The 23,363-nt window shown below is 41.8% G+C and overlaps 1 protein-coding gene across 1 annotated transcript in view, besides 2 other annotated features; it reads left to right on the top strand.

Moving 5' to 3' along the window:
- The window catches only part of SLC22A2 (solute carrier family 22 member 2), a 42,067-nt gene continuing 18,704 nt past the window's right edge, over positions 1-23,363 (top strand). The window contains exons 1-9 of the mRNA NM_003058.4: positions 1-478; positions 2,105-2,208; positions 8,120-8,274; positions 9,438-9,606; positions 11,524-11,638; positions 13,277-13,383; positions 15,036-15,250; positions 16,420-16,528; positions 17,236-17,348. Of these exons, the coding sequence (NP_003049.2) occupies positions 65-478; positions 2,105-2,208; positions 8,120-8,274; positions 9,438-9,606; positions 11,524-11,638; positions 13,277-13,383; positions 15,036-15,250; positions 16,420-16,528; positions 17,236-17,348 (1,501 nt within the window). The 5' untranslated portion in view covers positions 1-64. The remainder of the gene's footprint in view (positions 479-2,104; positions 2,209-8,119; positions 8,275-9,437; positions 9,607-11,523; positions 11,639-13,276; positions 13,384-15,035; positions 15,251-16,419; positions 16,529-17,235; positions 17,349-23,363) is intronic.
- Positions 17,796-18,690: an enhancer, noted in NCBI's record as "NANOG-H3K27ac-H3K4me1 hESC enhancer chr6:160661164-160662058 (GRCh37/hg19 assembly coordinates)". NCBI's record gives its function as "activates a minimal SCP1, AML or CMV promoter by ChIP-STARR-seq in naive and primed H9 embryonic stem cells {active_cell/tissue: H9 hESC(naive and primed)}" and the evidence as "EXISTENCE:reporter gene assay evidence [ECO:0000049][PMID:30033119]".
- Positions 18,691-19,586: an enhancer, noted in NCBI's record as "H3K27ac-H3K4me1 hESC enhancer chr6:160660268-160661163 (GRCh37/hg19 assembly coordinates)". NCBI's record gives its function as "activates a minimal SCP1, AML or CMV promoter by ChIP-STARR-seq in naive and primed H9 embryonic stem cells {active_cell/tissue: H9 hESC(naive and primed)}" and the evidence as "EXISTENCE:reporter gene assay evidence [ECO:0000049][PMID:30033119]".

Here is a 23,363-nt window from a genome sequence, read left to right as displayed (position 1 = left end):
GCAGCCGCTCTCAGCCTCGCTCCGGGCACGTCGGGCAGCCTCGGGCCCTCCTGCCTGCAGGATCATGCCCACCACCGTGGACGATGTCCTGGAGCATGGAGGGGAGTTTCACTTTTTCCAGAAGCAAATGTTTTTCCTCTTGGCTCTGCTCTCGGCTACCTTCGCGCCCATCTACGTGGGCATCGTCTTCCTGGGCTTCACCCCTGACCACCGCTGCCGGAGCCCCGGAGTGGCCGAGCTGAGTCTGCGCTGCGGCTGGAGTCCTGCAGAGGAACTGAACTACACGGTGCCGGGCCCAGGACCTGCGGGCGAAGCCTCCCCAAGACAGTGTAGGCGCTACGAGGTGGACTGGAACCAGAGCACCTTCGACTGCGTGGACCCCCTGGCCAGCCTGGACACCAACAGGAGCCGCCTGCCACTGGGCCCCTGCCGGGACGGCTGGGTGTACGAGACGCCTGGCTCGTCCATCGTCACCGAGGTAAGAGAGTGAGCTCAGGGCTCAGATGGAGAAGCAAATGGTGGAGATTTTCTCAAGGAAGCAAGCAGGGAAGGCCCGGCTCTTATAAACCCTGCCTGGACATCTCTTTGGCCTGCATGTATCTTACAAAATCCTAGTTTCCAAATGAGAACATGCAGCTTCTAATTTGTCTGGAGAATAACTGGATTAGTTAAAACGTCCTCAGATGCTGACAATAATGATTCTAGTTTGTGCATGTCCCAGCAATAAGGAACAGGCCAAAGCATATTAGGACTCCTGGAAATGTTGCCAAGATAGGGATATTGTGGATCCTCCTCTTTTTCTGGAAGCCTTACCTCCCCCTCTATTCCTCCATCCCGCAGATGCCCACACACACCTGAAAGCCCGTGGAACTCAACTGAACTGTGCCTGACTGTGTGATAGGATGTGCTTTTCTCTCGATACCTATTTTTTCTCTTTAATTTCCTCAAAGTGTTCATATAAAATCATTTGGGGCTGGAGATCATGCTATGGCACTATTATTTTGTTAAAAACTACAGATGACATCAAAAGCTATTTGTGAAGCCTGATTCCAATAAATATAATAGAAAAAAAGACAAAAAATGGAGCTTGCTTTTATTGAAAGCAAAGCAAAATAGGGGAATTAAGTTACCTGAAAATACTGAGAGAGCCAGTTGCCTAGTTTAATTTAAAATGACTGCTTGGACAATGGGAAGATATTCTGTGTGAACAGATGGGTAGGTAGAGTCTAATTTGAAGGGTCTAAAGTGGTCAGATATTTACAGGAAATGTGGCAGCTCATGGGCTTCACACCACAAACTCTCCGAGGCTCTCTCACATGGCCAATCTCATTGCTTCCTACAGAGATGAGGAAACTGAGGCCCCAAGCAGAGAAGGTTTTTCCCCAGGCCACACAGTGAATAACTTAGCAGGGTTAGCCCTAAAAGATGGGTCTCCTGACCTGGTCCAGCACCTGCTCCACCCGACCACCTCCTCTTATTCCAAATAAGAGCAAATGCAGCAGCCTTCAGCAGTCACTCCTAATCCCCTTTTATTAAACAGACAGCAGGGAGATGCTAAATGGCCCAACCTCCTGGTGCCTGCATTGTATCACGTCCACACACCTATCTGCATGTGCATTGAAATTAGAAAGGAAAAAATAAATTTGTCTATAAGTAATTACCCAGTTTCAGCTGATTTAGCCAATGCTGTAGTTTTAGCTTCATGACAAATTGCCAGATGGAAGGGCAAGCCTTTTGGTTATGTAAAGAAAACTGAGGCTGGGCACAGTGGCTCACGCCTATAATGCCAGCATTTTGGGAGGCTGAGGTGTGAGGATCACATGAGCCCAGGAGGTCGAGGCTGCAGTGAGCCATGATCACCACTGTACTCCAGCCTGGGTGACAGAGCAAGACCCTGTCTCACAAAAAAAAAAAAAAAAGAGAGAGAGAGAGAAGAAGAAGAAAATTGGCATGATCAAGAAACAATGGCTTATTGCCACTTAACTATACAGTTCAATTCAAGGAATATTTAATGAGTACCCTAGCTGAGTTATGTCCAACAGGATTCTAACAGGATTTCATTTCCTTTCTCTCCCAACTTGGAACACTTCTCCCCTGCTGGCAGTTTAACCTGGTATGTGCCAACTCCTGGATGTTGGACCTATTCCAGTCATCAGTGAATGTAGGATTCTTTATTGGCTCTATGAGTATCGGCTACATAGCAGACAGGTAGGTTGAATCACCTGTGGTGGAATTTAAACAATCCCAAAGGTTTGGAGAACACTTGGATGCACCTGCCCCTGCTTGAATCCCATCCTTTCCCAAGCACACAGACCACAATCTCCTGGCCTTCATGCTGGTGTTTTTACAATCTTAAATTTCTTCTGCTGCTTGGATAACCATGACCAATGTCTTTATTTTCAAATTCTCTGGGGTCATAGACAGATATTTCAACATTACACAGCAAATCTTCCATGGGGGCTATGCAGAAGCTTCAAGTCGGAAGGGAGAGTAACAGATGATCTCATCCCTTTTGTAATTCCCAATTCATTTTTTGGCCTCATCACCATCCACCTGGCCATCAGCCTTCAGGGCCTCTGAGCTCAATCCTATCCTCTGCTTGTCTCGCATATGCTGGGAGCCCCCAGCACCAGGCCCAATGTAGAATCTCCCTAATACCCGTGGGATTGCAAGAGTCCTGAATTGGGTTCCTGGGGCCATATATGACCATATATGTGGAAGCCATAACTTAAAGAAAGGGAAACAGGGTCTGCCTACAACACGAGGGGTAAATGTCCACCTCTGCAATATCATTGTCCCTGGAGAGATGACGAGAGGCCTCTCTGATGAGTCTTGTCTTCAGCAAGCTAGTAGTCAGTGTTTGTATGGATCAAGCTATTGCTATGTCTCTTACTTATCCAGCATTTTGGAATCCCACACTCACTGTGCTGCAAGTTTCCTACAACATGCAGCTTTGCTCTCTTGATGACCAATGAGACATTTTTAGAAGTCCTCAAAAGGAAAAGGAACCAAAAATTTGCTTCATAGTTGATAGGCACTTTAGATAACTTGGCCGTCAGGGCTAATTATTTAATATTCATAACACCGTTTATTGAGTGTTTTCCATGGCCAGGCACTGTGTTCAACATTGTGGGTAATAGTATTCCCCTTAATCAGCAATCACCTAGTGAGATAGTGATACATAACTATAGATTATTATATATAATACACAAACATATAATTTTATCTAGATATAAATATATAATTATGAATTTACATGTAAAATATAAATATATAACTGAAATACATGGTAAAGTCAATGCATTTTATGCTTGTTGCCCTCCCATGCCATCCCCAACTACATCTATGATATAATCCAAACCTGTGAGTATAATGTTAAATGCAAGTAGAACATTTTCTCTGATTATATTATTTTAGGCTGAATTAAAACTTGCAAATGTGTTAAGGATGAATAATGATGGCTTAATATATCACACCCCCAAGGCATATGCACTTCACAGGGGCCTGGGGCCCAACTGGCAGCAGAAGGGAAGAGGGATAAAAGTGGAGGCACAGGCCACGTGCACCTCATCCATCACCCATGGTTATTAATTGTCTCCTCAGCTGCCCTGACAAGGCTCTTCCTGGGGCTTTCTGCGGGAGGCTTGCAAGGTGAAAGGGAAGGTTTTTATTTTTATTGCTGCAGAATTGAGGATGATTCTTTAAAGATGACGCATTAAATCAGGAGAGACACATTAACAAGGGGAGGTCCGGAGTCCACCTTGCACCCCTGGGCAGCTCTGGCCCTGCAGGCATTCACTCTCTCTGCACTCCCTCCTCCGCCACCAGGTAGAGGTGCTAACACTCACTCCCTGACAGGCTGTGAGTAAACAGGTGACTCAATCTTTAACCCTTGCTCAGTGGGTTAAGAAATTAGTTAATTATTCACATCCCACTCAACAAGTAGGAGATTGGTCATAAATCCCTACTGACAGTGCATTCCTGTGTTATAAGCCCTGGTCAATTATCCACCTTCTTAGATGATCTCATTATTTTGTTCCTATTGTTGAAATCCCCTCTGTCAAGGTAAGTACTCATTATTCTTCCCCCAAAGGCTGTCTCCATGCCTCGACTTCTTTTTCTTACACCATCTGAAGCTTGGCCGGTCATTGCCCTTCTTCTGTTCTGTGCCTGCATGCAGGAGTGAGAAGCCTAGCCTAAAGAAATGAGAAAGCAATTTGTTTTTTGTATAGTTAATGCCTACAATTTCCAGATTTTATACAATAGGACAAGAATGTCATGGATCCCCATTGTATTCACAGATTAAGCCAACTTTAAATAAAACACATTGTCTTCCATGAATAATTTTTTAAAAAAACAGTAAGGCATTATGAAAAGATTGTAAATAAGACTAAGAGTGGACCCAAGTATAACCCATAACTTCCTCATCAATGATTTTGAGTGTCACCTGAGACAAAAAAGCAATTCCTCACCAATCCCAGGGTTTTTTTAATTTTAACAAGCAGCAATTATAAGTACTATATTTTTTATTTTTTTTATTTTTTGAGACAGAGTCTCACTCTATCGCCCAGGCTAGAGTGCAGTGGTGCAATCTTGGCTCACTGCAGCCTCTGCCTCCTGGGTTCAAGCAATTCTCCTGCCTCAGCCTCCTGAGTAGCTGGGATTACAGGCGCCTACCACCATGCCCAGCTAATTTTTGTATTTTTAGTAGAGACAGGGTTTCACCATGTTGGCCAGGTTGATCTCGAACTACTGACCTTAGGTGATCTGCCCTCCTTGACCTCCCAAAGTGCTGGGATTATAGGCATGAGCCACTGCATGTGGCCATAAGTGCTATATTTACTGTGTCATGCTTGTGAATGCTTAACAACTAGTTCTCTGGGAGGGAAAGCCCCAGTTTGTAGTGTTTATTGATTGCTCTGGTGTAAATATACCCACTGTGGTTCACTTCAGCCTACAAAAATGACATCACAGGACATAGAGTTGGCTAGAAGTGTGCACCATTACACAGCATTTCCACCATGCAGATACAGTAGATGTAAATAACCTCACAAGCACAGATGGCCAAATATAGTAAAATCATTGGAAAGTGATGTTTTGCATATTACACTTGCTTTCAATATAATTTAGTTGTAAATGTATATAATTTAATTTTTAATAATGGTTATGCTAACAATTAGCTTGCAAATTTTCTGTAAGTCTGATCATTAGCTCTTAAGAGCCAGCACCCTACTTTTATGTGTTGTGATGGAACTAGATCAAAGTGAGCTAGGAGGAGGGACTTGACTCTGGAGGCGGGGCTTGGACACCAGACCAAACTGAGGACTAGCTAAAACAGGTCCCAGGCAGGAGCAGCTTTCCATAAGACATGACCACCAGTGCACCATGTCGGTTTACTATTGCCATGGCAACATGGCAATCTCCAGCCCCTTTTAATGGCAATGACTCTACAACCCAGAAGTTACCACCCTTTTCCTAGAAATTTCTGCATAAGCCACCCCTTAATTTGCATATAATTAAACGTGGGTTGCATATAATCAAATTTATAATTTAAATTAATTTGCATATAATTAAAAATAAATATGAGTACAGAACAGACTCCTCTGAGCTGCTATTCCAGGCACACTGCCTATGGAATATCCCTGCTCCACAAGGAACAGAGGTGCTGCTGCTATACATTGCAGCTTCAATAAAAATGGCTATTTAACAACACCAGCTTGCCCTTGAATTCTTTCCTGGGCAAAGCCAAGAACCCTCCCAGGCTAAGCCCCAATTTTGGTGCTTGCCTGTCCTGCATCAAAAGCAGAACTAAAGTCCCAGTGGGTTGCAGTCATACTTACCCAACTATATGGGATCTTCCAAAACACGTTCACCACTGATTACTGTGTGCTAGTCACTTTACTGGGCATCCTCATTTGTTATATTTCATTTAGGATCACGAGAGCCTTTTAAAGTAGATTTCATTATCCATAATTTACAATGGATGAAGAAACCGAGGCTCTGTGAAATTAAAGCACTGCTTCCCAAATGCTAAGTTGCATATAAATCTCCTGGGGATCTTGCTAAAATTCAGATTCTGATCCAGCAGATCTGGGTGGGCCCAAAATTCTGTATTTCTAACCAGCTCCCAGGTGATGCTGTTCCCAAGCCCATGCTAATAGTCCTCAGCCACATTCTGAGTCACAAGTAGCTAAAAGACTTACCAAGCCAGCAGTATGGGGAGTCCACCCTTCCTGTCCTGTTTCTTCTGATTGTTTTCCATTTAACCATTTAAATAGCCCTGCTGAGGGGTAGGAGGAGTCTCAGACCTCTATCCCAGATTCCCCAAATTTATTCTAGCCATGCCTTATTATTCTTTTAAGTAGCATTGCTTCCCTATGTGGAACATGTCTCCAGTGAAGTTTTTCCACATCATGGATTTGATTTTCTTGCTCTGAGTTTCAGATGATGAATATTCCCTCTCATCACCTAAAAGATTTTGTCCATCTACATGGGGCACTACTGTGGTGTTCTACTGTGTGCCTGAAGCAGTTTTGAAAGTTGAAGAAGTACCATTTGAGTCAATGTTTATAGATTATATACTCTTTGAGGGTAAAGGAAGGGGTTTGGGTAGGAAAATGTGGGAAGAAATGCTAAAAAATTAAGTTGAGATATGACTTTGGAAGGCTTTGAATTAGAGGCCAAGAGGTTGTATATTTACAGCAGGGAGCCATTGACTGAGAATTAAGAAATTACATCGTTACCTAGGTGATGGGTTGATAGGTACAGCAAACCACAATGGCACACATTTCCCTATGTGACAAACCTGCACATCCTGCACATGTACCCCAGAACTAAAAATAAAAATTTTTAAAAATGAAATTACATGGTCAAAACAGAGTTTTAAGACTTAAGAAATTTACTAGTTAATACTAATTACCAATGTAACTGCTTAACCTTAAAATTTCATATTTAAAATATTACTCTTCCAAAATAATTATTAATAATGTGGATTATTTTGAAATGGTTAGTATTTGACACCTTCACTAGAATATAGTTGCATAATAATAAAAGCATCAATTAAACAATGTTTATCCACCATTAAAAGGAGCAATCCTGATAACAAAAAGCCATCCTTCCAATTGAAGTGGAAAGACAAAGATTAAATAAACATTGTTTTCTGTGAAGAATTTTTTTAAATATCCACTAAGTGGATTAGGGTGTCTTTTACAAGCAAACCAGGACATGGCGAAAATAACAGTATTGGGCCCCAGGTCAACTCTCTGAGCTGAGCCAGGTTTGCAAACAGAAGGAAAAAAGGAAGGAAGGGGTCGGAGGCAGGCTATGTGCCAAGCTCCTTACCTCTAATATCTCACTTAATCCTCTTTTCAGCTGGGTCAGATGGGTCTTTTCCAGATGAAGACACTGAATATGGTTGAATAGGTTGCCCAACATCATAGTAAGTAGGAAGGTCATGATGAAACCCAGGTTGCCAATTGTTTTCCTCTATTCCATATACTGGGACAACTTTCCAAATCCCTAAACTGAATAAACCTAAGTCTCCCAAATCTGATGTGTGGAAGCTGTCTTCCCAGGGTGCTCCAAACAGAGGCCCCCATAGGATAGTAACATGTGTGGCACCAAAGACAATTTTCACAAAGCCTAAAAGCACTGTTGAAAAAGAAAGGGGGTATATACTGAACACTGAATTTTGTTTTCAAAGTGAAAAAGTGAAAACATTCTTGGGTGGATAATTGGTTGAAATTGTTAGTGCAAAGGCCGCAGCTCACATGGTGATGTAAGACCTAGTTAGGACCATAGGGTATTCAGCACAGGATGGCCTGGATGAATTACTCTTTCCCTGAATACCTGCCACAGTGTGGGACTGAGAAAGTACTTGAACCCTGGGGTGAATGGGGCTTATCATGCTGAAAACTTACACATAGTGTGCTGATGAAAAGTGCTACCTGGACCTGGAGTCACAGATTCCCTTTGTGGCTATCAGTCTGTGCCTCCTGGATTCATAAAATTTAAAGTTAACCTCTAACTTTGTTTAGATTTCCATAACTTCCATGCATTTTCCACAATCTTCACAAATCAAAATTAATTCAATTCCCTCTCTTTGTTTTTCTTCCTGCAGGTTTGGCCGTAAGCTCTGCCTCCTAACTACAGTCCTCATAAATGCTGCAGCTGGAGTTCTCATGGCCATTTCCCCAACCTATACGTGGATGTTAATTTTTCGCTTAATCCAAGGACTGGTCAGCAAAGCAGGCTGGTTAATAGGCTACATCCTGAGTAAGAATGTTTGTGCTTGCAACTGTGAGAACAAAGCAACCTCGCTGCCAAAATAGAGTCAGGTGGGGGGCGGCATGCAAGAAAAGGGACCCAGCTTCAAGACAATATTGAGAGATTTTTTTATTTCTGTATCAAAAGAATTCCTAAAAGCATATCAACTCATTCAGCATTCCTCCTTATAAACTAAAAAAATGAAGGCAGAAACAAGGGTAAACATAATGCCACCCAGATTCTTATGTAACTTTTTTGGAATTTTTGTTTTCTGTACCCTGGAGTATTGTGTGGAAAGAAAATTCATCCTACCAGACCTATTCATAAAGAAGAATCAGTGATGAGAGATATAGTAGATTTATAAAGGACTTTAATACTTTGCAAAAATCTATTCTAGTGAACTACAATTATCCTCAACTTACACATAAGGAAACTGAAAACACAAGTACTGTAGTCAACCTAGGTTACTCAGCCAGCCATTTTTAGGACGAGGAATATAACTTACATCCTATTCCTTAGTAGCCAGAGTTACAGTTAAGTTCCATATACTATAAGAGAATATTTGACTTCTAACATCATAGCATCTTTATAGCAATATTCTCACTATGGCTGATACCAACGGGTTGAACCACCAGCTTGTAAAATTCCCCAGCATGTAAAACCAGTTCCTGCCAGCCAGCACTAGCTGATTCCAGCCCTCTGCTAAGTTACCAAGCCATTTATACAAATAAACAAATAGGACTTGCAAGATAAATGTTAAACCCATGTAAGAGAACAAGTTATACTCAGGTGTTCATTTACATAAAAATCATCTACGGTCTAAATTTAATGTTTGATTCATTTGTTCAGGTCTTGAGTTACTACTCTAGGTCAAAATCTTGCATGTATCTGAAATACAATTGCATCATGAAAATTATAAATCAAATGTGTTTGCTTATGTTGGCAGGCCTTTCATCCCATCTACAATGGGACTATAAGATTTATTAATTAGTAAAACAGCAATAGTTATAACAAAATAAAAACCAAAAAACACTTAAAAATATTCAGAGAGTTGCGTAGAATATTCTAGAATTTGTCTATATTTTTGAGGTTGGTGTTCTAGTTTCCTGATAGCTGGACAGCCAACTCATTATTGTATTGAATTGCATTAACCATTCAAATTCTCTCTGCAGTTACAGAATTTGTTGGGCGGAGATATCGGAGAACAGTGGGGATTTTTTACCAAGTTGCCTATACAGTTGGGCTCCTGGTGCTAGCTGGGGTGGCTTACGCACTTCCTCACTGGAGGTGGTTGCAGTTCACAGTTTCTCTGCCCAACTTCTTCTTCTTGCTCTATTACTGGTAAGTCCATTTGGAATAAAAAGGAAATAAATCAAAGTATTTTATTCTGCTAAGAAGTCTGCCTTCCTTAATGCACACTATCTTTCTGATTCTGAGATTGCTTTCACTCTCCAGACCCATTTCACAAAGAGCCCAATTCCATGTTTCAGGAATAAAAACCACAAGCTTCACCTCTCCGTCTGTAAATCAAATGTCCTTTCTCTTTGGGCTTAAAGTTTTTATGACTTGGATCTTACATTTCCACATTATTTATTTGGTGTTTAAATTAGCTTCTAGGAGCTGTGGTACAATTTGGACGGTAGACCCTTTGAAGAGACTGAAAATATCACTATTACTATTCTCTCCCCACTCAGAGGAAACTTTAGGGTGGAGAAAGCAGAGCATGGCACTTGTGTCACCATTTCCCAATACTCATGCCCAAGGCAGACATCCCCAGTGAATCACAGTATTCTTCATCACAGATAAGGCCAACATGACACTCCAGACAGACCATACCAATCAATCAGAGTTACCAAGGCAAGTAAAATATATTAGTCATCCCTGCCTAAGGGAAACACATGGGAAATACCAGAAACTCTTAGAAACCCCTAATGTGAGATTATCTGAAATAAAGCAAAGGGGATACTGGATTATCAGACCAAATCTCTCTCCCATGCTACAACCCATTTATTTAGTTTCTCCTGGATTTACCCACTTGTTCTTCCCATGGCTGTCTTGCCTAAGAATTAAACATCTCAACTCTTTCCCAGAAGCCTGTTTCTTATCCAAAAGCCAATAAAACTCTGTGTTTTACCAGCTCAGACTGCAGTGACAAAATGCCATGGACCGGGTACTTAAAAACATATTTCCCATAGTTCTGGAGGCTGGGAAGTCTAAGATCCAGGTGCTGGCAGATTTGTTCCTGATGGGAGCCCACTTCCTGACTTGCAGACATCCCACTTGTGGGCCCTCACATGGTGAAGAAAAAATAACACTCTAGTCTCTCTTCCTCTTCTTGTAAGGATATCTGGGGGCCCCACTCTCCAGACCTCAGCTAAACTTAATTACCTGCCACAGGCCCCAACTCCAAATTGCACACTGGGGGTGAGGGCATCAGTGCATGCGCTTCAGCGGGGACAGAAACATTCAGTCCATTATACCCTGAGAGTGACCCTTCCTGCTGTCTCTATTACACTTCCACAAAAACATCCATTCCAAGTTCCTTTTAAGCCCTGCCTCTCAGAGCAACTTCGCTCCCAGAGTGATGATCCCAACTGGGGCCTTCCTACATTTACACCATAACTGCCACAGCAGCAGCCCTATTATCTCCTTTCTCCAGTTTCTCCTCCCGCTGAACCTCCACCCTGAACTCATTCACCCTGAACCCAGCTGCTCAGAGTTCCCTCCAGACACAGAGTCAATAGTTCTAGTCTTGCTCAAAAACTTGCAAGGGCTCCCCGAGCCCTGCTACATCAAACTCAAACTATGAAGTCTCGCTTTTCAGTTACCTCACCCTCTGACCTCAAATTCTTATCTCATTCCTTTGGGAAATTGAGCATAACACATATACATACTTGCTCCCCACCCCCACAATGGTTTGCATACTCCAGCATCCAGTCCTTGACCCCTCTGCCAGTTCTCAGGCCTTTGCAAAGCCCAGGGCCACCCTGAGGGACCTGCCTCTCCTCCTTGCAAGAGGAGCTGGATGTTCAGCCGCACCCTGCTTTGCAGCTTGCTTCCTGTGTTTCTGCTTAGAAATCCCTGAGGAGGGATTTAGCATTTGAGGGAGGAAAGAACCACATATCCCCCTACACGAGTGTTATTTTCTTTGGAGATCCAACTGTATTAACATCCTCAGAGAAATCTGATTATAAAAAAATGGGGGATGGGGTAAGGAGGATTCAGTAAGAGTTGCCCTCCGCTCACCTTGTACCCTAGGTGCATACCTGAGTCTCCCAGGTGGCTGATCTCCCAGAATAAGAATGCTGAAGCCATGAGAATCATTAAGCACATCGCAAAGAAAAATGGAAAATCTCTACCCGCCTCCCTTCAGGTGAGCCAGGGCCTTAAGTATCAAATCAGGGGATGGAGAAAAGGGAGGCTCTGGTAAGATTCATGCATGCCAGTGATCTCAGCAGGGAACCATGGAAGCACCCACCCCCTTGCATTTTGGCTTACCTGTAGCGGAATGCAACAGAGAATTTTATATGCTAAGATTTGTGGTTCCGTGGGAGAATATTTCAAACAGGTGGAAACCATCAAACTAAAAGAGAACCAGAAATCATTTAAAGGTCACGTGAGGAGCTTCTGTCTTGTGCAACTTAAGCCTTCACCAGTCTCCTATGCCCAGGTGCCCAGCACCCCCATCATCTGCATATTCACCATCCTCAGGTCAGATTCTTAGATCAGTAAAGCAGTTCTTTAAACACACATGATTTCTTAGAATTGTAAACACTTTGGATAGAAATTGTCCAAAAAGCTTTTTTTTTTGAGATGGAGTCTTACTCTGTCACCCAGGTTGGAGTGCAGTGGCACAATCTCGGCTCACTGCAATCTCCACTTCCCAGGTTCAAGCGATTCTCCTGCTTCAGCCTCCCTAGTAGCCAGAATTACAGACGAGCACCACCACGCCAAGCTAATTTTTGTGTTTTTAGTAGAGACAGAGTTTCGCCATGTTGGCTAGGCTGATCTCGAACTCCTGACCTCAGGTGATCCACCAGCCTCGGCTTCCCAAAGTGCTGGGATTACAGGCATGAGCCACCGCACCAGGCTGAAAAGCTTTTAAGCAATCCCCTGCCTTCTTAAATAGAATCCAGTTACAGAGGTGTTCGTTACCTGTGTTTATTGTTTGCCTTTAGTAGATCTCACCACGTTGACCTCAAACATTTTCATTCCACAGCGGGTAGAAAAGAGAAGATTAAGCTTATTCGAAAATAGGCCAGGTGCAGTGGCTCACACCTGTAATGCCATCACTTTGGGAGGTAGAGGCAGGTAGATCATCTGAGGTTGGGAGCTCGAGACCAGCCTGGCCAACGTGGCAAAACCCCACCTCTACTAAAAATACAAAAATTGGTCGGGCGCAGTGGCTCATGCCTGTAATCCCAGCACTTTGGGAAGCCGAGGCGGGCAGATCACTAGGTCAGGAGTTTGAGACCAGCCTGGCCAACATGGTGAAACCCCATCTCTGTTAAAAATACAAAAATTAGCTGGGCATGGTGGCGGATGCCTGTAATCCCAGCTACTCAGGAGGCTGAGGCAGAAGAATTCCTTGAGCCCGGGAGGCAGATGTTTCAGTGAGCCAAGATCGTGCCACTGCACTCCAGCCTGGGCAATAGAGCAAGACCCTGTCTCGGGGAAAAAAAAAAAAAAAAAAAAGCTGGGCATTGTGGTGCATGCCTGTAATCCCAGCTACTCAGGAGGCTGAGGCAGAGGATTGCTTGAACCCAGGAGGTGGAGGTTGCAGTGAGCCGAGATTGCACCACTGCACTCAAGCCTGGGTGACAGAGCAAGATTCAGTCTCAAAAAAAAAAAAAAAAAAAAAATGAAATGGGACACAGTATGGAAAGTGCTTGCTCTAGTGCTGGGCATGAGATGGGCGCTCAGGACGGTAAGAAATTATTGTTATTCCCTATGTGACCCAGGGACACTAGCATTAAATATACAAAGCCGTCCTTTCTATTCCTTTTCTTAGCGCCTGAGACTTGAAGAGGAAACTGGCAAGAAATTGAACCCTTCATTTCTTGACTTGGTCAGAACTCCTCAGATAAGGAAACATACTATGATATTGATGTACAACTGGTAAGGAATATTTTTCACTTTGAAATGCCTCCAAATTGTTTTAATCACAGTCATCCATAGTAAGGAAGGGAAGAAAACATGACCTCATCCCGGTATTAGCGCTGACGGTGGGCAGCAATGTGGGTTGTGTCTGGTAGGTTTTCCTGATCGTGTTTTTCTTGGGCAAATATTAAGATCGGTGTAGCCCCTAAGCACAGATCAAGGCAATGGCAACCTCGGCTTCACATTGGAATCACCTGGGAGCTTACAAAATACCAAAGCCAAAACCCCCAGAAATACTGATTTAATTGTTCTAGGGTAGGGCTTGGAAACCAATAGTTTTTTAATTCTCCAGGTGATTCAAATGCATAGCCCAACTAGAGAACTATTGGTATAACTTAATTGATGATGCATGTAGATCTCTATTGTAGTACAGAACTGGCAAAAAACAAACAAACAAAAAACAGGGTTGTGGGGGGATTGCCTTTTCTTTCCTTTTTTTCTTTTCTACCTGGAGAAAAAATAAATTTCTGAACAAGAATAATTCCAGTGGCTTCACAGCCCAGTGACTTGATCTTTATTGTGTTTGCTACCTACAGGCTGCTCTCAGAGCTTCAAGCCATGCTTTCTCTAGTGGGGAATGCATCTTTTCAGGGCACATTGGATCTCCACCCAGGCAAATGGAGATTTACAATCACTGACAAAAGCAAAGCTCATGAGGAATTACTTTAGCAACCTTTACAATAGTGCACAGGAGAGGCAGCTTTGAAATTTGGCCTCATTATCCTTCTTTCCTTTTCTGAGTAATCGTGACTTTTGTTGATTATCCTCATATTTTCCATTACATGTAATGACTATGTTTAGTTAATAAACTAGAAACATTGTCCAAATGTTGTTCGTAACAGGCCAGGAGAGAAGTCACCAAGAAGGGAGGCCGTACTCACTTGGTCTTCTGGTTTCCTAAAATTTGAATTAAGTAGTCAGTTCTTTCGATCCCAATTGCACTAGAATACCCCAAAGAGAGAAATAACTCACAACCACTAATAACTTGATATAGTTTTACTAAATAAATCATTCCATTGGCCAGGCACAGTGGCTCACACCTGGAATCCCAGCATTTCGGGAGGCTGAGGCAGGCAGATCACATGAAGCCAGGAGTTCAAGACCAGCCTGGTTAACATGGCAAAACCCCATGTCTACTAAAAGCACAAAAATTAGCAGGTGGTACACGTCTGTAATCCCAACTACTAGGGAGGCTGAGGCAGGGGAATAACTTGAAACTGAAAGGTAGAGTTTGCAGTGAGCCAAGATTGCACCACTGCATTCCAGCCTGGGCAACAGAGTGACTCTGTCTCAAAAAATAAATAAATAAAATAAATCATTCCATTAAGACATTCTTCTTGGCTTTCAATTTGTCCAGGAAACATTATCGTAATTTCTAATTAGTTCTAACTATTCCAATTTCTTCCCTTCTCCTGGTTTTTGGAAACTACCCAGCCACAGCCAGCCACTGAAGTAGATCAGAGATTATAAAAGCAGTGGGATGGGGGACTAGCAAGGAGATGGTCACAGGGAAAGGTGACCTACAATCCACATTATTTTTCCAGAAGCCTCTCTTTTTTGGTGCCCTGTGTTTGGTGCTTGACTTGACCTGAACTCTCCTCTTTGCTCAGGTTCACGAGCTCTGTGCTCTACCAGGGCCTCATCATGCACATGGGCCTTGCAGGTGACAATATCTACCTGGATTTCTTCTACTCTGCCCTGGTTGAATTCCCAGCTGCCTTCATGATCATCCTCACCATCGACCGCATCGGACGCCGTTACCCTTGGGCTGCATCAAATATGGTTGCAGGGGCAGCCTGTCTGGCCTCAGTTTTTATACCTGGTGGTAAGTTTCAGGTGAAGTTGGAGTCTTATCTCCAAGACCCTGGAGAAAGGGAGTGTCACGGCCCATTGATAGGAAAACCATGTAATTTGTCATCCAAATCAATTTGGAAAGACAAATTGGAGGGCAGTATCTGGGACCCTTCTGAGCAAATTCATATGGCCAGCCTCCCTTTAGGAAAAATTGTACCCAATTTTTCCTTGATGTGATGTAACAAGAGAGACTTTACAGCCCCATGCTACAGGCCATCAAGATGACCTGGAGCAGAGAGCATGGGCCTTGGGTAAAGCAGGCCCAGGTCAAGGTCTTACTCCAGCCCTTCCTGGGTGTTAACTGGGGACTCTCTTGACCTCCCTGCATCAACCTGCAGAATAAATGAGAAAAATGTAAGTAAATGCCATCCATAAATAACTATTCAGTTCCCTTTTTCCCTTTTAAAATGCTTCCTCAACGAAGGGGAACAAATACCTGGATAAGAGAATCCTTTTAGCAATATGGAGCTTCGTTTGAATCCTTTTGTTATTAGCAGTTGTTTAAATGTGCCCATATTTTGCTCTTTCTTTGACTTCTATAGACTAAAGTTGGCCCAGCTTTGGAAACTGGTATAACTCCGTTGTCATTAACAACTGAGGTCTAAAGTTAAGAGAACACAGAGGATTTTTAGGGCAGTGAAATTATTCCATATGATACTAAAATAGTGGATACAGGTCATTATGCATTTGTCCAAACCCACAGGAGGTGTACCACCAAGAGTGAACCCTAATGCCAGCTATAGATTTGGGGTGATTATCGTTGCCACTGAAGGTTCATCAAGTAACAAACATACCACTCTGTGGAGAATGTCGATGATGGGCAGTGGGGGGTGGAATGCATGTGTGGGGGCAGAGGTTATGTGGGAAATCTCTGTACCTTCCTCTCCATTTTGCTGTGAACTTAAAACTGCTCTAAAAAAAATATCTTTTTTAAAAAAGAGAGAATTAGCATTGTGTCTGAGGTTAAGATGAACAAACGTGAGAATCTGCTGACATTAACATGAGCCTATAGAAGAAGTCATTTTTCTTTCTTGTCCCATTCTGGGATGGGGAATTTGTCCTTACAGTCCCACTCTGGAGCACTGTCTGAAGATGAGGAATCATCTGTGTACGGATAAGTACTGTTCTTTTCCCTCTTAGATCTACAATGGCTAAAAATTATTATCTCATGCTTGGGAAGAATGGGGATCACAATGGCCTATGAGATAGTCTGCCTGGTCAATGCTGAGCTGTACCCCACATTCATTAGGTGAGTGCATTTTCCTTAGAATGACGAGGGTGGGTGAGACATTTGTTCATTGGCTGGAACCACCACAAGTGCAGACAAAGGATATCTTACCTTCAAAACACAGTGTAAGGGAAGGTGAGAACACGTAAAGGTCCAGCCAGGCCCAGCAGTTCACCTCTCACACTTACAGGCTGGGGTAAAATACAGAGGCCATGGTGAGAACAGAAAATTGAATTGCAAGACAGGGATTACCCAATGGCTACAGGGGAGATTGTTGTGGAACAGCACAAACAGGTCCATAGAAACAGCTTAGGGAAGCCAGGTGATGGAAGTAAAAAGAAACAATTGCTCCTCCCATCATTAAAAAAAAATTTAAGGTTTATACAAAACAAGAATGACAGAATATGAATGGAATTATGTATATATATATATATATAAAATATTGTGCATTGAAAATAACGTGAATGTTTTTTTAAACTCTTGAACATTTTATTTTTGGTGTTTTTTTTTTATTTCAATAGGTTTCTGGGAAACAGGTGGTATATGGTTGTATGAATAAGTTCTTCAGTGGTGATTTCTGAGATTTTGGTGCACCCGTCACCTGAGCAGTGTACACTATAGCTCTTGAACATTTTAATTATTTGAGGAAGTGTTTATTCAGGGGTGGATGGGAGATAACTACTGCACTGTGATAAGTTAACAAGTTAAATCAGTTTCCTGCATTCTAGGAATCTTGGCGTCCACATCTGTTCCTCAATGTGTGACATTGGTGGCATCATCACGCCATTCCTGGTCTACCGGCTCACTAACATCTGGCTTGAGCTCCCGCTGATGGTTTTCGGTAAGAAATCTTCACAGATGTCTTTAAGTGAAAACTTATTTTTCTAGAGACCTTCACTTCTCTTCTACTTCATTCAAAACAGGTGTCATGCCTATTAGTAACTACTAATTACTACTCATAGTAGTAATGATGTGTCTGTGGCTTGCGTTCTTCCTGGATGTGCCTAGTAATTAGTAATATTATTAGTATTAGTAATACTAATCAATAATACTAGTTCAGTATTCATAATATTATCATCACTACTAATACTCAAGTATGGGACTCCTGCCATAGAGGCAGAATGTTGAAGAGAAGAATGAGAAGGAAGAAAGTTTCCCAGCAGCAGGCCCCTAACTCTCTCTCTGCTGATTTCCACCCTTCCTGAGGTCTCTGTCAAAGAGTTAACTCCTCCATGCCCAGAGGTGGTAAAACACAAGCCCTTTTACTTCTTACTTCAAAGAAGGGGGTTAAAATTTTGCAAAAGGCAATTTCAAAACCCAGAGGAAATAAAGACCCACATTAAGAAAATGCATCAGCATAATGGAGCACCTGTGTTGATGCACCTGGAGCAATTAGATTTCAGGAGCGTCACATAGCACTTCCCTTCTGCTACTGCCAGCAGGAACACACCAGCACTGAGCCTTCTCTGGTTAACTGGAACACCTCAATGCACCCATTTCAGGCTCCTTTGACACCCATTCTGAGCTGCTTTTAATTGAATATGTGATGCTTTTTCCCATGGGCATATAGCACTCAATTTAGGGGAAGAGAAGAAGAAGAGATTTCACTCTCAGATGTACATGAGGGTGTAAAGGGAAAGGAAATTTAAAAATCTCAGGACCCCCAGAATCCTTATGCAAAAGGGAAGACTAAGCCTGGAGGTTGAGTCATGCAACACCCTCTTCCAGATGAATAGCTGTTACAAGCATTATACATCATGCCTCAGTTATCTACAAAGGACCACCCCTGCAGGTCATTCATAAGTAAATTCTTTGCTGGCCTCCTGTAGACAAGAATTTTAGGTCTACAATCTAAGCTTAGCTTCTAAAACTAAAGTCTGCTGATTCCACACTGATAATGTTGATTGCAAGCTTATTTCCCAATGTACAGAATAAAGACAAGATCAGTCATTCCTCCACCTACTCAGAGAGGCCTGCATAATTGATTCTTTTCTTTACTCCCATTTTCTCTTTAAACATTCACCTTATCATATGTAAAATGTAAATTTAACTGGGCACTAGTTAAAGTCTCACAAGGATGGAAACATTCCTCTACGGCCTACCTGCCCCTCTCCCTACCTGCCTCCCTACTTTAAGGAAATGTATAAATACCAACCTCCTGAAAGCCTCTTTGTAAAAACAGCCACAGATGTGTCTGTGGCTCATTGCTTTTCAGGGACATGCCCTAAAGCTGACTTAATAAACCTCGACTGACTGGGACATTTTCCTCAGTCACTCATTTCCGTTATCAGGGGAAGCTCCCACCACTTCACTCCTAAGGCTGCCCAATGCCCCACACAGCTACCCTGCTCATTCCTTTTCTTCCCCTTCTTCTCACGGAATTTGTGAGGGGGAAAATTTTCCACCACTCTAGATCTGCCAGCAAAAGTTCCAAACCACTGATGGAACTTACCTGCAAAACAGATGCAATGAATTCCTCCATGATCCAGTTTAATAGCAATAAGATGGCCAAAGTTGACAGAGCACAAGCTCTTTATCCTGAGATAACTTGGCCACAGAGTAGCTGGTGCTACTCCTGAGACATATGTGACCCCTATTTCTTTCTCCCCCAACACTGGCTAAGGAAACTGTCCTCAGAACCCTCTTTTCATCATGAGGAGGTACCCATCAAACCCTCTGTCCTCCTTCCTGCCATGGAGGAAGTTAGAGACCACTCAATCTTGGCCACTCCCTTAGGTGGACAGTGGGTGACTAATGGGTCAGCAGGACATTTCTGGATAGCAGATGGTTACTTCGTTACTGGAAAGAGGTCCTGACCCAGACCCCAAGAGGGGGTTCTTGGATCTTGCACAAGAAAGAATTCGAGGTCAATCCATAGAGTAAAAGGAAAGCAAGTTTATTAAGAAAGTAAAGGAATAAAGAATGGCTACTCCATAGGCAGAACAGCAGCATGGGCTGCTCAGTTGAGTAACCTATAGTTACTTCTGGATTATATGCTAAACAAGGAGTGGATTATTCGTGAGTTTTCCAGGAAAGGGATGGGCAGTTCCTGGAACTGAGGGTTCCTCCCCTTTTCAGACTATATAGGGTGACTTCCGGACATCACCATGGCATCTGGCATCTGTAAACTGTCATGGTGCTGGTGGGAGTGTCTTTTAACATGCTAATGCATTATAATTAGTGTATAATGAGTAGTGAGGATGACCAGAGGTCACTTCCATCGCCATCTTGGTTTTGGTGGGTTTGGGCCAGCTTCTTTACCACTTCCTGTTTTATCACCAAGGTCTTTGTGACCCTGTGTCTTTTGCTGACCTCCTATCATCCTGTGACTAAGAATGCCTAACCTCCTGGGAATGCAGCCCAGTAGGTCTCAGCCCCATTTTACCCAGCCCCTGTCCAAGACAGAGTCACTCTGGTTCAAACAACTTTGACAACTTCATGTTTCTCTAAGTACTATTTAACAAATAGTACTTTATTGACCCTTGTTCCTGCCTGACACCTTCCTGCAGGAAAGATAAAGGATTATAACTACATTTCAATATTTAAAGTAAACTCAAAGACAATTCTAATTTTATTCTTGAAAGTAATTTCATATTCTTCCCTCACTAACCTTTAGTATGAGTGGCTAGTGGAAAGAAAACCTAATAGTTTTTCATTTTAACTTCTTTCTCTTTCTTTTCCACACAATAATGGTGTGCTAATTGTGGTCTTGAAATAGCCATAAAACGATAATCAAAGAAGACTGAAAGTCAACACACTGGAAAATCCTGGCTGAAAGAGCACTGGAAAAATCAACAAGGATTATTCTGGTTAACTAGGCCTGTCTTTGCAAATATAAAATGCCAAACGAATGGTAATTTTATTAATCAGTTGTATTCATCATGATTCACTCACTTCAGAGATTCAGATGCCAGCTGAATGTGTTTCTTGTTTGCATTACTTACAATACAATAACCAAGTGAATCTTGGGAGGCTTGGAGACATTTTGAGAGGTTAATTATTTAATAGGCACTTCCACTGTATATACCATGTGCCAGGCACTATTCTAAGCCTTTGACAATATTAATTCATTTCAGCCTCATAACAAGCCTGTCTCTGTTACCAGAAAGGGGTCCCAATCCAGACCCCAAGAGAGGGTTCTTGGATCTCACACAAGAAGGAATTCAGGGCGAGTTCACAGAGTGATGTGAAAGCAAGTTTATTAAGAAAGTAAACAAATAAAGAATGGCTGCTCCATAGGCAGGGCAGCCCTGAGGGCTGCTTGTTGCCCATTTTTATGGTTATTTCTTAATTATATGCTAAACAAAGTGTAGATTATTTATGAGTTCCCCGTTTTTAGACCATATAAGGTAACTTCCTGATGTTGCCATGGCATTTGTAAACTGTCATGGCACTGGTGGGAGTGTAGCAGTGAGGACAACCAGAGGTCACTCTCATTGCCATCTTGGTTTTGGTGGGTTGTAGCCAGCTTCTTTATTGCAGCCTGTTTGATCAGCAAGGTCTTTATGACCTGTATCTTGTGCCAACTTCCTATCTCATCCTGTGACTTAGAATGCCTAACTGTCTGGGAATGCAGCCCTGTAAGTCTCAGCCTTATTTTACCCAGCCCCTCTTCAAGATAAAGTTTCTCTGGTTCAAACACCTCTGAGATTTCCCCATTCCCTTTTGTAAGAGAACTCTTAATCTTAATGGTTGCAGAGAGACAAAGATCCATCTTCTGTAACTTTTTCATTCTGATTAAGGGTGATGATATTTCTGATTAAGTATTAGGGTCTCTTGTATTCAGGGTAGAGAGGAGCTCAGTCAGAAAGCATCAGTATGGTGAGGGCCATTCATAACTCTGAGTTCTGACAAAAAGTGATATCTGAAAGATTAATAAGAGTTTAATTTAAGAAAACATTTGGTAAGCTTATCCTGCACAACCCTTTGTGTATTCCTACACAAAGAGTAAAACGGCAATATGTTCCACAACAGTAAAGAAAAATAAGCAAAATTATCCCAAGCAAACTAAATTAGAAGGCTTTCCATGAACCTGGCAATTGTTGAAACCATGCTGATATGGGGTCACTACCTGATTCCAATGAGCCCAGAATTAGAATATTGATCCAGATTTTTATATTACCCATCCCTCTTGTTTCTTCTGAACTGCAGGAATCACTCGTTGGAATGAGCAGGGTCAGTCTAAAGTGCAGGAAGAAAAGCTTAAAACAACTGATGAGACTAGAATATAATAACAGGTATACCATTGTTCTTGAAACATAATTTTTCTCTCTCCAGTTTCCCATTTTTGCTAAAGACAAATCTTGGTAGGACTGATTTGCTTTATTGTACTTGGCCTGATTATTTGTATAAAGTGCAGCAAAAATAATTATTTTTCACATAGGCTTTTTAAATTGGCTTTGACAAAACTTTGTTCCATAAAAGGAATCTCAGATAAGACTTTTTTTTTCAAAGCCAAGCCCAGCCATGGGTTTGTACCCTCTAATACCAATAAGTTGAGTAAATGCCTCTCCTCTTGAGGTCCCTAGGTAACTCAGGCTCCTGGGTCTGTCAGAAAGTGACATTTTTTACTTACCACAGGTCAGGAACCCTGTACAGGGACTATGTAGACAAGGTATGATGTCAGTTTTCCCAGGGGACTTTTATTGGCTCTACCAGTTAAGTTTGATTTCTTAAAGGAAAGCACAACATTCCAGTCAAAGCCTTGGTAAAAATAACCAGTTTCTCCAACTGTGTCCTGTTGCAAAAGAAAACAGATTCTTATTGCACTTATGCAAATAACTATATTGCCATAAGTTAAGAGTACTCACAAATAATTTTCAAATTCTGGAGAAATCAGGTAGAGAGAAACAAATGTGCTCCAAAGTTTTTCACAGGAATATACTTGACTTAATTGCTACAAGCTGTAAATACTAATAGCTCAAAAGAAAAGTTTCCTTGACTCTGAAAAACAAAACAAAGGATCAGCAACGTTTTAAGCAAAAAATTAAAAAAGAATACTTCGGTCTTTTATTCAGTCCATGCAGTTAACTCCTGCTTTGTTTGATATACATGAACATTTCACCTCTCCCTGAGAGTCCTGAAAGTATTTTCCTCTATTCTAATGTCACAATCTCCAAAGTTATCAGAAACCTGCATTCAAGAATACCTGTTAAAGTCCTATAGTTGATTATAAAACCACCTTTTGAAGAGGATCAACACAAAACAACAATTGTCTGTGGATGGTAAAGTCTTAGGGCAGCCACAGTCAAAAACACAATTGACAAATAAATATGTTACTTCTGTAGCACACATTAATTTAACATAGCAATTATAATTATTACTGATAATGTACACTAAGTCCTATCAGAATTATAGGAGTTTCATATAATTTTGGAACACATACCATTAATGTATTTATACAAATAGAGCCCAAAGACAGCCAAACACCATTTTATGTTCAACAATGCTTCCTGTATGACTTTTATACTACATAAGTCAAATTTCACTTTTACATTAGTGTACTATTAATGTTAAACCTTCATAGACATATCTACCCAATTTTAATGTTTGACCATAAGGTAGGATTCTCATAAACCTTTTATAACTCTTTACAAACTTTTTATTAAAGAGCAGATCAGTGCTGTAAGAAAAACCTATTGTGCTTTTATCCTAATGTTCAATTTATGGAAAAACTGAATGATACCCCTTTAACTTTAGCCAATATATTCACACACAGAATTTCTTTTACATGATTAATTTTTCACAAATCCTCCACAACTTGTTGAAACCTTCAGCTTTATCTTATTTAACTTTAAACAATCCTTTAACCCTGAATTTCAGATTCCCTGAAATTAAGGGTCTCATTTTTATACCA

Source organism: Homo sapiens, chromosome 6, assembly GCF_000001405.40.
Source record: "Homo sapiens chromosome 6, GRCh38.p14 Primary Assembly".
Lineage (NCBI taxonomy): Eukaryota > Metazoa > Chordata > Mammalia > Primates > Hominidae > Homo > Homo sapiens.
Note: the sequence above shows the minus strand (reverse complement) of the source record. Positions and strands in the feature narration are given on the sequence as shown.